This window comes from Homo sapiens, chromosome 14 (genome assembly GCF_000001405.40).
Source record: "Homo sapiens chromosome 14, GRCh38.p14 Primary Assembly".
NCBI classification, from domain to species: domain Eukaryota; kingdom Metazoa; phylum Chordata; class Mammalia; order Primates; family Hominidae; genus Homo; species Homo sapiens.
This window is the reverse complement of record NC_000014.9, coordinates 103,263,095-103,278,641: the sequence shown is the minus strand read 5'-3', so window position 1 is coordinate 103,278,641 and position 15,547 is coordinate 103,263,095. Positions and strand designations below refer to the sequence as shown.

Sequence of the window (15,547 nt, the reverse complement as noted above, 5' to 3'; positions counted from 1 at the left end):
GGAGGCGGAGCTTGCAGTGAGCTGAGATCGCGCCACTGCACTCCAGCCTGGGCGACAGAGCGAGACTCCGTCTCAAAAGAAAAAAAAAAAAAAAGAAAAAAAGGAAAAACAAGCATACATCAAATCTGTGAGAAGCAGCTAAAGCCATTTTTAGGGGCAAATTTCAGTTTCACATTTTTTATAATGGAAAAGAAGAGGAGCCAAAAAAATCAGTGAGATAAATATTCATCTCGAGAAGTCGAAAGGAGGCAGGGTGAGATGGCTCACACCTGTAATCCCAACACTTGGGGAGGCTGAAGTGGGTAGATCGTTTGAGCCCAGGGAGTTCGAGACCAGCCCTGGCAACATAGTGAGACCACGTCTATGTTAGTCTGTTCTCACGCTACTATGAAGAAATACCCGAGACTGCGTAATTTATAAAGGAAAAAGGTTTAACTGACTCACAGTTCCGCAGGGCTGGGCAGGCCTCAGGAAACTTACGATCATGGTGGAAGGAGAAGCAAACAAGTCCTTCTTCACATGGGGGCAGGAAGAAGTGCTGAGCAAAAGGGGGGGAAACCCCTTATAAAAGCATCAGCTCTTGTGAGAACTCATTGACTATCCTGAGAACAGCAGCATGGAGGTAACCGCCCCCATGATTCAATTACCTCCCACTGGGTCCCTCCCATGACACACAGGGATCATGGGAACTACAATTCAAGATGAGATTTGGGTGGGGACACGGCCAAACCACACCACCATCTCTACAAAAAATACAAAATTAGTTGGGCATGGTGGTGCATGCCTGTGGTCCTAGCTACTCAGGAGGCTGAGGTGGGAGGATCACCTGAGCCCAGGGAGGTCAAGTCAGCAGTGAGCTGTCATTGTGCCACTGTACTCCAGCAGCCTAGACGACAGCCTAGGCTGTCTCGAAAAAAAAAAAAAAAAAAAAAAAGGAAGAAAAATATCCAGTAAATTAATTCCAAATAAAGTAGAAGAAAGTAAATAACAATTAGCTGGACAAGGTGGTATGCATTTGTAGTCCCAGTCCCAGCTACTCTGGAGGCTGGGGTGGGAGGATTTCTTGAGCCCAGGATGTCAAAGCTGCACTGAGCTGAGATTCTGATACTGCACTCCAGCCTGGGCAATGGAGCAAGACCCTGTCTCTAGCAAGAAAAAAAAAAAAAAAAAAAAAGAAAAGAAAAGAAAAAATAAAATAAAGCACAAATTATTTGAAAACAAGAACAGAGAGGATCAACAAAGCCAGATGTTGGGTCTTTGAAAATTTAGATGAAAAGAAAAAACTCCTAAAATATATAACTAATTAAGCTAAAATTAAAGTAACAGATCAGAATAGTTCCATATCTATTAAATACATTGAGTATATAATTAAAAACTTCCCACATGAAAGCTGTAGGTTCCAATGTCTTCTCTGATTAATTGTAACAAACATTTAAGGGAGAAAAAAAGAGTTCATTTTACAAAAAAGAAAAGACCTCTCTCAGAGACTAGAAAAAGAGGGAACTTGTTTTATGAGAGCAGGGTAACCTTGCTATCAATCAGACAAGGACATCATGAAAAAGGAAATTTACAGGCCAGTCTCACATACACTCACACATTCACAGGTGTGAAAATCCTAAATAAAATAAATTCAGTGTTAAATTAAAAAAGATAACACACTACGATTAAGTGGACTTTAACACAGGGATGTAAGATTAACTTAATATGCTAAAAATAAATTTAAATGGTCATGTAAAAGAATAGAAAAGAAAAATCATATGACCATCTGAGTAGCTGTGGGAAAAGCATTTGATAAAATTCAACATCCATTCATGACAAAAAGACTGTTAGCCACCTGGGAATAAAAGAAAATGTCCTCAGTCTATTTAAGATAGATACAGGAAGTTTCTAGTAAATATCATACCGTACATAATAAATATTATACACACTTTTGTCAAGTTTCCCACTATCTCCACTTCTACTTAACGCTGCACTGAGGTTTTCAACAATGTGACTAAGGCCAGGAAAAGAAACAAAAGGCATAATACTCTCATTATGTAGCTGATATATGTTCATTGAAAATATAAAAATGTCTAATAATTTTTTCTTTTTACATTTTCTTTTTCTTTCTTCTTTGTTTTTTAATCATCTAACCAGGTGAAAAATCTAGTATTTCTTTTTTTTCTTGAGACAGAGAGTCTTGCTGTGTCACACAGGCTGGAGCACAGTGGCACGATCATAGCTCACTGCAACCTCGACCTCCTTGGCTCAAGTGATCTTCTCGTCTCAGCCTCCAAAGTAGCTGGAACCACAGCCGTGTGCCACCAGGCTTGGCTAACTTAATTTTTTTTTTTTTTTTTTTTTGTAGAGACTGAGTCTCACTATGTTGTTCAGGCCAGTCTGGAACTCCTGGGCTCAAGCAGTCCTCCCACCTTGGCCTCCCAAAGTGCTGAGATTACAGGCATGAGCCACTGTGCCTGGCATAAATTGTTAAAATGAATAAGAGAGTTTAACAAGGTTGCTGGTTACAAAGCCAACACATAAAAATCATTTGCAACTCTATAGACCAACAATACAAAAATAACAAGCAAGAGCAAAATAAAAATGCATTTTAATAGCATCAAAAGACAGCAAATACCTAGGTAACAATCTAACAAAAGATGTACATGACTTCTATGCAGAAAACTATGAGACATTATTGTGATAGATTAAAGAGAAACAGACAAACATGTTCATGGATTAAAAGACTCAATATTTAAAATATGTTAATTTTTCTGAAACCAATTTGCTTCAATGTAATCCTAATCAAATTCTGGCAAGTATTTTGATTGCAGTCCATCAAGCTGATTCTAAAGCTTGTATAGAGATGCATAGGACCAAAGTTAGGCAAAATATTCTTTAAAAAGAATAATAAGGTGGGAAGATTTTGGTCCACCAGAGGCATCAAGATTTACAATAAAGTTATAAGATTTACAATAAAGCGACAGCAAATAGTGTAGAAAGACAGACAAATAGAACAGAGAGGGCACTGCCTAATGATGGTAGGGGAAGAATGGTCCTTTCAACAAATGTAATAGGATGGTTGATCAACAGATGGTGGACACAAAGAAAACTTAATATACAAAAACAAAATCCAGATATATGGTAGCTCTAGCTGCAAAAGGCAAAGCAACAAGGGTTAGAGAAGATAACATAACAGAAGATTTTCATGAACTCTGGGAAGAGAAGTGCTTATTACATAGACCATAGCATTGATCATAAAGGAAAGGATAATACATTTGATTATGTTAACACTGAGAGTTTCTCTTAATCAAAAGACACCATTGACAGAGTAAAAAGGCAAACTGCACAGTTGGAGAAGAGATTTGCAGTCCAATATTACTGACAAAGTATTCCTATCCAGAATATAGAAAGAACTACATACCAATAAGAAAAAGACAGCTGAATATAAAAATGGGCAAGAGACCTGAACAGTCACCTCATAAGAATATGTAAAATAAGGTCACATATTTATCAATATAGATATGTATATTTGGAAAATGTTACTACTAGTTACTCCTGGGGGATTGGAAGTGGAGGGTGGAGGTAGGGGGTGGTTTTCAATATTTTTAAAAAACAAGTTGTAAACAGTGATGGTGGTTCTTTTTGATTTTTATTAAAAATTATTTGGGGGGAGGGATAACATTAAATTATATAAAATCTGGTAGGAAAAGGCATTCTGGAAAAAAAAAAAGGCTGGAGAAAAAATGGTGGCTCCCATGATCGACTCAGTAATTTACTTGGTTGTTTGGTTATTCTTTTGTTTGAACATCTCCTACTATGAACTGATTTCAAAACCAGAATATACTGCATTTGTAATTTTAAGAAATAAATGTTATCAAAATATAAAGAAAAGTGCTCTTAAAATACCTTAAAATTCATGCAAGCTGAACAAACTAGACTGTCTGAGATTGACTTCTTGAAGCCAAAAGGCGAGACCACCCGAAGAGGGAGGCGCTGGGCTTCGCCTGAAGGGACAGGAGTCTCCTATGCCGGTCACCTGGGGACCAGGGCTTGATGGGAAGAGGGCACGAGTGGGGGGAGGGGCTCCGGCTGCAGGAGAATCCCCGCGGGAGCGTGGGAGGGGCCAGCTGGGCCAGGGCCGCCGCGTGTTCGGAATGAGTCTGATTCTGGCCGCAGGTCAAGCCGCGTTCTCCAAGCCACGATCTGTACCACCGATTCCCTTCAAACTAACTGCGACCGGGGCCCCTCGGGGCGTCGTCGGGCACGCGGTGTGAGGCCTGCGCCTGTGCGCGTGGGGTGGCGGGGGACCCGCGGCTGACACAGCCTTTGGCCTGGAGTCCTAAACGAGGGCCTGGAGTTCCTCCTGTGTGAAGACAGAGGCCTGGTTTCCACCTCTACCGCCTCCATAGCTACCAGGCGCCCACGGCCGCTGGAGGGTGCCTGCCGGGGCTGCTGCGGGGCTGCTGCGGGGCTGCTGGAGGGCCCAGCCCCTGGGGCCTCGGGGTCGTTCGGGTCCTGACGCTGCAGGACCAGCTGCGCGCAGAGGCCAGGAGACCCCGGTGCACTCGGCCGAGTTCTGCGCGCGGCGGGGACCGCGGAGGCACCAGCGACCTCTCCTGCCCGTTTGGACCCAGGGCTAGGGTCGGAGTGACACTATGGGTGGGGAGGCGGAGGCGGGGAGACTGAGGCGGGGAGAGGATTTTCGGCGCGGGGAGGGGTCGCGTGCGCGCCTGGGGACGCGGCGGTCCCCTAGGGTCTGCCCTCTTCTGCCGCGTCCTGGGCTCACTCGCCCAGCGGGAAGCGTCTCCTTTCTCCAACCCACCTGATCATCTTTCTCTCAACCCCCAGCTCCTGACCCCCGCGAGTTGGTCCCAGGGCCCGCGACAAGGCCTAGGCACCGGGATTCCGGGCGACATGGATCTTGGGGCCTCGAGCCTCCAAGCACCCAGGCCCTAGGAGGGCCGCGGGAAGGGGCGCAGCTGGGTCCCCGCCAGGGGTGCGGCAGAGGCGTCCGCTGGGAACCCGCCCCACGTAGGAAGCCTCGGAGTCCCAGATCCGCCCCGCTCAACCCAGGCTGGGGGTCTCCTCCGCCCGGCCCAGTCTCTGCAGCCCGCGCGTCGCGTTTGCTTTTTCGCGCACCGGAAGGGAGGCGCCCCCGCCACGACCCCAAGCCTCTGCCAAGTATCCGCCGGGGCCCTGCGCCCGCCCACGACCTCAAGAGCTCTGCGCCCCGGAGCGGGCGCGTCCTTCTGGACCACCCAGGCTTGGCGAGGGCATCGGCTGCTTGGAGGCCTCCGCGGATCGGGCGGGGGCGCGGCGCGGGGCTCTGGAGGTCATGGACGAGGGCGAGGCCGCGGGGGACCCGGTGTGCGCGCAGGTACGCGGAAGCTGGAAGCGGCGGGACGTCCTGTGTCACCGCTGGAGCCCAGGTGGAGGACAGGCCCCACTTGCCTTGCCTTGCCTCGCCTTGCCCCGCCTTGCGCCGCCTTGCCTTTTCCTTGCCTTTTCCTTGCCTTTCCTTTCCTTCTTTCCTTTTTTTTTTTTTTTTTTTTTTTTTTTTTTTTTTTTTTTTTTTTTTTTTGAGACAGAGTCTCGCTCTGTCGCCCGGGCTGGAGTGCAGTGGCGCGATCTCAGCTCACTGCAAGCTCCGCCTCCCGGGTTCACGCCATTCTCCCGCCTCAGCCTCGCGAGTAGCTGGGACTACAGGCGCCCGCCACCACACCTGGCTATTTTGTTTTTGTATTTTTAGTAGAGACGGGGTTTCACCATGTTAGCCAGGATGGTCTCGATCTCCTGACCTTGTGATCTGCCTGCCTCGGCCTCCCAAAGTGCTGGGATTACAGGCGTGAGCCACCGCGCCCGGCCAAAAATTGCTTTTCTTAATCAGTGTCCGTCCTTGTATTTTTTAAACTGAAGCTAAGCGTTACTCACGTACATAGTGCCGTATAAGATGTAACCGAAAATGCGTACACTGACGCTTAAACAAGGGTTACTTGTGTATGTGGCTGCCTCGCACTGATTGACTATATCCGGATGGTCTTTCTCTCCTGATGGTGCTTTAATTCGTGGAGACCTTGTTTCTGGGTCTTCTCTGAGACCCCGAAGACTCTGGAGCCGGCACTCCTGTAGAGATGGGTGTTCTCTTTTGTGTATGATGTGACCCTTATACTTTTTTTTTTTTTTTGAGACAGAGTCTAGTTCTGTCGCCCAAGCTGGAGTGCAGTGGTGCGATCTGGGCTCCTTGCAACCTCTGCCTCCCCTCCCGGGTTCAAGCAATTATCCTGCCTCAGCCTCCCAAGTAGCTGGGACTACAGGCACGCGGCACCACGCCCGGCTAATTTTTGTATTTTTAGTAAAGACGGGGTTTCACCATACTGGCCAGGCTGGTCTTGAACTCCTGACCTCAGGTGATCCTCCTGCCTTGGCCTCCCAAAGTGCTGGGATTACAGGCGTGAGCCACTGTGCCTGGCAGTGACCTAAGCCTTAATGTTGTAAGAGTTACAGTTATGTTTGAAATAGATTTCAGGGCACTGAACTGAACAGTTTTTCACACGTTTTAGATTCATTTACAACCTAGAATTGCAGCTTTCTGGGTGGATTTGTTTTTTTTTTCATTTACATATATAAAATGCCTGACCTACTTGCTGAAATGTCCCTGTACTTTCAAAAGGTGTTGTTTTTTTTTTTTGTCAGAATGGAGCAAAATCAGCTTCTACAACTAACAGCATTATTTCCCCTGTAGTTTATTGAAGCAACATTTTTTCCCTGAACACCTGAATATTTTGACAATAATGCAAATGTTAAACAGAATGAAATTATGTAAAGAAAAGATGCTCTTTTTGTTTGCCTTTCTAGCTGTGTTTGTAAAACCTTGGGAATTGGCTGGGTGTGGTAGCTCAGGCCTGTAATCCCAGCACTTTGGGAGGCTGAGGTGGACGGATCACCTGAGTTCGGGAGTTCAAGACCAGCCTGGCCAACATGGAGAAACCCTGTCTCTACTAAAAATACAAAATTAGCCGGGCATGGTGGCACATGCCTGTAATCGCAGCTACTTGGGAGGCTGAGGCAAGAGAATCACTTGAACCCAGGAGGCGGAGGTTGTTGTGAGCCGAGATCGCGCCATTGCACTCCAGCCTGGGCAACAGGAGTGAAACTCCGTCTCAAAAACAAACAAACAAAACCTTGGGAAGGTTGCTGGTGTTTGGCTTTGGTGTGTGTGGGAAGTGTGTGTGTGTGGGGGGGGTTGTGTGTGTGGGGGGGGTGTGGGGGGGTGTGTGTGGGAGTGTGTGTGTGTGTGTGTGTGTGTGTGTCTGTATGTGAATTCCAGGCATTATTATTCTCTACAGCCCATGGACTCGCAGAGCTGAGACTTTAGTTCTGCCTTAGGCATTTGAACATTTTTCAAAATCAAATGTGAAAACTCAAAACTAACTTTTATCTGTATAAGCTTCCTAGCTTTGTCGAGGGAAAATGCTAGCCCGCGCAGTGGCTTGTGGAGGACCCTGGTATTCAGTTTATATTGTGTGTGATATTGTGGTAGAATAAAAGGTCCCCTCAAAATGAACAAAGAAACAAACACCAAAAAACCTTTCACTGCGCTGAGACCCGGCAAGACTTCAGTCCTCAACACTCCTTTCGGGGACTGGCTGTATGTCTTTTAGGCCTCAGGCAGTTCTTCAGTTTCCCCACAAGAATTTCAGTACTTTCAGTAACACCTGGAAAGCAGAACTGTCTCCCCAGATGGTGGCTGGGAAGAGGGTGTTCAGGCCCTGCGACCTGACACCCCCCAGGCAGAACACCCCCTTCATCTGTGGCAGAAATCCTTAACACTGAAGTTCAGGAAATGCCACCCCCAAATATGCCAGTTTGGGATATGGATTGGTTATAAAAGGAAGCTTTGAGTGGCACTTCCTTCTGTTTAGGATTTCAGGCAGCTCATAAAAACAAAGACCTCTATTTCCAGCTAGGCAATCAGGTGGGGGACAGGCATGGAGTAAAACTCTTGTCTCCAGTAACTCTGGGCTAAACTATTTCCCAATGAGAACAACTAACTGGATAAAATACATATTTTTAAAAATCTTAAAAATATTGAATTGCTGGGCCAGGCGCGGTGACTCACACCTGTAATCCCAGCACTTTGGGAGGCTGAGGCAGGCGGATCACGAGGTCTGGAGTTTGAGACCAGCCTGGCTGACATGGTGAAACCCCGTCTCTACTAAAAATACAAAAATTAGCCAGGGGTGGTGGCATGTGCCTGTAATCCCCGCTACTTGGGAGGTTGAGGCTGGAGAATCACTTGAACCCGGGAGGCGGAGGTTGCAGTGAGCCGAGATCACGCCACTGTACTCCAGCCTGGGTGACAGAGCGAGACTCTGTCTCAAAACAACCCCCCAAAACCCAAAGTACTCCCACAAGTAATTTTTTTTTCTAGTTTGGAAAGGATAGCTTTATTCCTCCTAAAGGGTTGCAGCCTGAAGGTGGCCGTTCTGACAGGCTGGGAAGCATAGCCTCTGGCTGGAAGCTAGAAACAGATATTTGGAGGGTAGGAATGGTAACACAGGGATTTATATTGACCAGGGTGGCCAAATATACATATTCAATAAGCTTTAGGAGGATCCATGAATATTTATGAGAGGAGAAATATGAACATACACAGTTGAGCTTCATGCCTCTCCATGGGACCCACGTTCAAAAAATGGTAGCCTTCACATGGTCCAAGGGTGGAGTTTTTGGGCCTCTGATGTCAAAAGGGGAAGCAGAGAAAACCCTCACTGTGCATCCTCCGTAGACTGGCCAGAACCACTCTGAGGTCGGTGGTCTCTTATCAGGAGGGGATGCTGGTTGGTAAGGTTGTATTGAAAATGCAAAAGGAAGCGGCAGCGTCAGAGTCTGGTTGATGTCGGGGTGGGGTCTGTGGACCGCAGTCCGCAGGGGAGAAAGCCTAAGGGCAGCTGGAGAGGGAAAGGGGAGCGTGTCTGACCTGCCCTCCCGTGTCTGACCTGCGTTCCCATCATGGCCTGGAACTCAGTTTTCAAGGTATCTCTGGGGTCCCCTTGGCCAAGAAGGGCTCAGTTCAGTTGGTTGGGGGCTTAGGATATAATTTTTATGTCTCTTTTCCTCACTTTGGTCAAGATTTTCCAGAGGCAGCATCAGTGGCTAAACTTTAATTTTGTCCCATATCGTTGCCAGGGTGGTGTGGCTCCCTGCCCCAGGTCCATCCAGGCCCTCGGCGGAACCCCATGGCCAAGGGTCTTACAGCCAAAAGACTTGCAGTCAATTAAACATTTTAGGCCAGATGGGAATGGAGGCAGCCAGACATTCATTAACCTGAAAAACTTTAAGCAATGTAAGAGCCAAAAACCAAAGCCAAAATGCAAGGTTACAAAATTGGCTTATCTGTAAGTTCTATACATTGAGCTACTGCAATCTTGGTTTTAGTTACATTTGTAGCAATTAGCTATATAAAACCTAAGCAATTAGCTATATAAAACCTAAGCATTTTGCTAAAACCATTTAAAGTAAGGAATCTGGAGACTTTAGTTGGGCTGCAAAGCTTTTATTTATTCATTGTTTGAGACAGGGTCTCATTTTGTCACCCAGGCTGGAGTGCAGTGGTGCAAACTCGGCTCACTGCAGTCTCAATCTCTCGGGCTCAGGTGATCCTCCACCTCAGCCTCCCAAGTAGTAGGGACTACAGGCATGTGCCACCACACTCGGCTAATTTTTTTTTTCTTTCTTGAGACAGATTCTTGCTCTGTCGCCAGGCTGGCGTGCAGTGGCACGATCTCGGCTCACTGCAACCTCCACCTCCCGGGTTCAAGCAATTCTCCTGCCTCAGCCTCCCGATTAGCTGGGACTACAAGCACATGCCCAGCTAATTTTTTCTATTTTTAGTAGAGATGGGGTTTCACCATGATGGCCAAGATGGCCTTGATCTCCTGACCTCGGGATCCACCCGCCGTGGCCTCCCGAAGTGCTGGGATTACAGGGGTGAGCCACCGCTCCTGGCCCTAATTTTTAAATTTTTTTGTAGAGAGGGGATGTTGCTGCCATGTTGCCCAGGCTGGTCTTGAACTCCTGGGTTCAAGCTATCCATCTGCCTCGGCCTCCCGAAGTGCTGGGATTACAGGTGTGAGCCAGCGCCTCCACAAAGCTTTCTGTGGTCTCTTTAGTACTTTTTCTGAAGTGATGCTAATTGTTGTTGGTCATATCTCTATTGCGTAAACCCCGTAGCTGGAAGCAGCTACACCCAGAAGGCTCTGTCATTGCATATCTTGATATTCTCTTCGTAATTCTCCTTTAATTCTACAGGAATCGGGAATTTTCCGTGATTGGGATGGATGGAAAAGCACCCAACTGCTACATGCTGCCTGATGGCTCCAGGGTTGGCCCACCATCACTTCTGCCACCATTGTTGCCACACACACTGCCCAGGAGCCCACCTGCCCTGCCTACTGGTGGCGCCTGAGCAAGCTGGAGGCCCAAGGACTGGCCTATCTGGACTCACCACCATTAGCACCTGCATATGCCACCCAGGGGCCTGCAAATCAGCACACCTGGCTCCCCATTGCCACCACAGCTGTGGGGGCTGCATCCTGCAGAGCCACAGGGCAGAGCCCACCCCTTGAGCCAATGTGGCCTGGATACGAGACACAGGGTTGAAGGAGATTATTTTGGAGCTTTAAGATTTAATGACTGCCCTGCTGGGTTTCAAACTTGCATGGGGCCTGTAGCCCCTTTGTTTTGGCCAGTTTGCCTTTTTGGATTGGTAGTATTTAGTCAATGTTTGTACCCCCATTGTATCTTGGAAGTAACTAATTTGTTTTTGATTTTACAGGCTCATAGGTGGAAGGGACTGGCCTTGTCTCAGATGAGACTTTGGACTGTGGACTTTTGAGTTAATGCCGAAATGAGTTAAGACGTGAGGGACTGTTGAGAAGGGATGATTGTATTTTGCAGTGTGAGAAGGATATGAGATTTGGGAGGGGCTGGGGCAGAATGGAATGGTTTGGATTTGTGTCCCCAGCCACATCTCATGTTAAATTGTAGGAGGGGTCTGGACAGAGGTGATTGGATCAAGGGGGCGGATTTCCCCCTTGCTGTTCTCGTGATAGTGACTGAGTTCTCACAAGATCTGGTTGTTTAAAAGTGTGTGGCACCTCCCCCTTCACCCTCTTCCTCCCGCTCCAGCCTCAAAGGATGTGCCGGCTTCCCCTTCACCTTCCACCATGATGGAAGGTCTCCCGAGGCCTAGCCAGCCGTGCTTCCTGGACAGCCTGTGGGAACGTGAGCCGATTAAGCCTCTTTATAAATTACCCAGTCTCAGGCAGTTCTTTATGGCAATGTGAGAACAGACTACAATACCAACCAACATTATCGGTGTATCTACAGGAAAATGTCTTTCCCTACAAAAGCCAATCCATAAAATTAGAAGAAATGACTGTTACACCAGATGCGCAGATATCAACACAAGGACACAAGAAACACACACACACAAAGGAAACGTGACGCCTCCAAAGGAACACAATATTTCTCCAGGAACAGATCCTAAAGAAATGATGAAATGCTCAAAAAAATTCAAAATAAGTTTAAAAACTCAGTGAGATACAAGACAGCAAAGATAAACAATACAGAGAAATCAGGGGCCGGGGGAGTGGCTCAAGCCTGTAATCCCAGTACTTTGGGAGGCTGAGGCGGGTGGATCACTGGAGGTCAAGAGTTCGAGACCAGCCTGGCGAATGTGGCGAAACCTCATCTCTACTAAAAACACAAAAATTAGCTGGGTGTGGTGGCGTATGCCTGTGATCCCAGCTACTCGGGAGGCTGAGGCAGGAGAATCACTTGAACCGGGGAGGCAGAGGTTGCAGTGAACCAAGATCATGCCACTGCTCTCCAGCCTGGGTGACAGAGCCAGACTCCATCTCAAAGAAAAAAAAGAAAAAAGGAAATCAGGGAAACAATTCATGATATAAATGAAAAAAGTTAAAAAAAAAAAAAACAGAGCCATCATTAAAAAATGCCAAATGGGAATCCTGGAACTGAAGAATTCTGTTCCAGGTTTGAAGAATAAAATAAAATAAAAACAATCAAGAGCTTCAACAATAGACTAGATCAAGCAGAAGAAATAATTTTGGAACTTGAAAACACGGCTTTTGAAATAGCCTTGTCAAACAAAAAATAAAAGAGTGCTGGGTGTGGTGGCTCATGTCTGTAATCTCAACACTTTGGGAGGCCACGTGGGTAGATTGCTTGAGCCCAGGAGTGTGAGACCAGCCTGGGCAACACGGCGAAACCTCATTTCTACAAAAATTACAAAAAATTAGCCAGGTGTGGTGGTGCATGCCTGTAGTCCCAGCTACTTGGGAGGCTGAGGTGGGAGGATCACTTGCACCTGGGAGATGAAGGTTGCAGTGAGCCCAGATTGCACCACTGCATTCTAGCCTGGGTGATAGAGCAAGACCCTGTCTCAAAAAAGAAAAGAAAAGAAAAACAGTAAAAAATAAGAAGAAAGGCTATATGATATATGAAACACCGTAAGTTGCCAAATATTCAACTTTTTGGAGTTCCTGAAGAAGAGATGGGCAAAAGTGTAGAAAACCTTTTTAATGATATAAGAGCTGAAAATGTCCCAACTCTTACAAGAGATATGGACATCCAGATACAGGAAGCTCTAAGATTCTCAAATACACAACAAAAAGGTCTTCTTCAAGGCACATTATGGTCAAACTGTCAAATGTCAATGGCAAAGAGAGGCTGGGCATGGTGGCTCATGCCTGTAATCCCAACACTTTGGGAGGCTGAGGTGGGAGGTTAACTTGAGTCCAGGAGTTCAAGACCAGCCTGGGCAACAGAGCAAGTTCCATCTCTACAAAAATAAAAAAATCAGTTGGGTGTGGTGGCATGCACCTGTAGTCCCAGCTACTTGGGAGGCTGAGGCAGGAGGATCACTTGAGCCCAGGAAGTTGAGGCTGCAGTGAGCCATGATTATACCACTGCACTTCAGCCTGAGTGACAGTGTTAGACCCTGTCTCAAAAAGAGAGAGAGAGAGTGAGAGAAAGAGAGAGAGAGAGAATGTTAAAAACAGCAAGAGTAAAGTGTCAAGTCACATATAAGGGAATACTCATCAGACTAACAGTGGAGTTCCCAGAAGAAACCTCACAAGCTGGGAACGTGATGATGCATTCAAAATGCTGAAAGAAAAACCTGCCAGTCAAGCATAGTATAGCCTGCAAAGCTATCCCTCAAAAATGAAGGGAAATAGTCTTTGTCAGATGAGCAAAAACAGAGAGAACTAATTGCCACTGGACTGGTCCTATAAGAAATGCTTAAGGGAGTCTAACATCTAGAAGATACCTATCATCATGAAAACACAGAAAGTATAAAACTCACTGGTAGAGTAGATATGCAAATGAGAAAGAGAAAGGAGTCAAATGTTTCCACTATGAAAAACCACCACATGACAATGATAAACAGTAAGGGAGGAAGAAAGGATATACAAAACAATGAGAAAACAGTTAACAAAATAACAGGCATGAGTACTCACCCATCAATAATAGCTTTGAAAGTAAATGGATTAAATTCTCCACTTAAGGCTGGGTGCAGTGGCTCATGCCTGTAATCCCAGCACTTTGGGAGGCCAAGGTGGGCGGATCACTTGAGGCCAGGAGTTTGTGACCAGCCTGGCCAACATGACAAAACCCTGTCTCTACTAAATTACAAAAATTAGCTGGGCGTTGTGGCATATGCATATAATCCAAGCTACTCAGGTGGCTGAGGCATGAGAATTACTTGAACCCGGGAGTCAGAGGTTGCAGTGAGATGAGATTGTGCCACTGCACTCTAGCCTGGGTGACAGAGTGAGACTCTGTACATTAAAAAAAAACTATTCCATTTAAAAAATATAGACTGTGCCAGGTGCAGTGGCTCATGCCTGTAATTCCAGTACTTTGAGAGGCCGAGACAGGGAGATCACCCGAAGCCAGGAGTTCAAGACTAGCTTGGCCAACATGGCAAAACCCTGTCTCTACTAAAAATACAAAAAAAAAAAAAAAATTAGCCCGGCAAGGTGGTAGACACCTGTAATCCCAGCTACTTGGGAGACTGAGGCAGGAGAACCTCTTGAATCTGGGAGGAGGAGGTTGCTGTGAGCTGAGATCGTGCCACTGCACTCCAGCCTGGGTAACAAGATAGAAACTCCGTCTCAAAAAATATAGATATACATGTATAGACTGGCTGAATGGATTAAAGTACAGGACCCAACTCTATGTTGCCTACAAGAAACTCACTTCACTTGTGAAGACACATATAGACTGAAAGTGAAGAGATGAACAAAGATATTCTATGCAAATGAAACCCAAAAGTGAGCAGGAATAGCTATACTTAGATAAATCAGACTTTAAGTCAAAAACTATAAAGAGAGACAAAGAAGGTCATTATATAATGATAAAGTGATCAATTTAAGCAAGATGGTAAAGCAGTTCTTAATATATATGCATCCAACACTGGAGCACCCAGATATATAAAGTAAATGTTATTAGTTCTAAAGGGAGAGGTAGATTCCGATACGATAATAGTTAGGGAATTTAACACCCTACTCTCAGGATTGAACAAATAATCTAGACAGAAAATCAACCAAAAAAAATAGATTTAAACTGTATTTTAGACCAAATGAACCTAACACACATCTACAGAACATTTTACCTGACAGATGCAGAATATATATTCTTCTCATCAGCACATGGATCGTTCTCCAGGACAGATCATATGTTACGCCACAGACAAGCCTCAAAATATTTTAAAAAGTCAAAATCAATCACATATCTTATCAGACAACATTGGAATGAAACTAGAAGTCAATAACAAGAGGAACTTTGGGAACTATATAAACTCATGTAAATTAAACACCATGCTCCTGAATGACCACTGGGTCAATGAGGAAATTAAGATAAAAATCCAAAAATTTCTTAAAACAAATGAAAACAGGAACACAACATACCAAAACCTATGGGATACAGCAAAAGCAGTGTGAAGAGAGAAGTTTATAGCAATAAAAGCCTATATTAAAAAATAGAAAGATTTCAAATAAATAAGTTGATGATGTACCTCAAGGAACTGGAAAAGCAAAATCAAATAAAACCCAAAATCAACCAAAGGAAAGAAATAAAATCAGAACAGAACTAAACAAAATAAAGATGAAGAATCAATACAAAGGATCAACAAAACAAAAAGTTAGTTTTTAAAAAATACAAGAAAAATTGATGAACCACTAGCTATACTAACAAAAAAAATAGAAGACCCAAATAAAATCAGAAATGACAAAGGAGACATTACAATGAACACACAGAAATACAAAGGATCATTAGAGACTGTTATGAACAACTATACACTAATAAATTGGAAAACCTAGAGGAAATAAAGTCCTGAATATATATATCCTACTAAGATTGAACCAGGAAGAAACAGAAAACCTGAACAGACAAATAATGAGTAATGAGATTGAATCAGTAATGAAACATCTTCCAACAAAGAAAAGCCGAGGACCAAATGGTTTTACTGCTGAATTTT

At 45.3% G+C, this 15,547-nt stretch overlaps 1 annotated feature.

The window, feature by feature from the left end:
* Positions 13,039–13,821: an enhancer, noted in NCBI's record as "OCT4-NANOG hESC enhancer chr14:103731158-103731940 (GRCh37/hg19 assembly coordinates)". NCBI's record gives its function as "activates a minimal SCP1, AML or CMV promoter by ChIP-STARR-seq in primed H9 embryonic stem cells {active_cell/tissue: H9 hESC(primed)}" and the evidence as "EXISTENCE:reporter gene assay evidence [ECO:0000049][PMID:30033119]".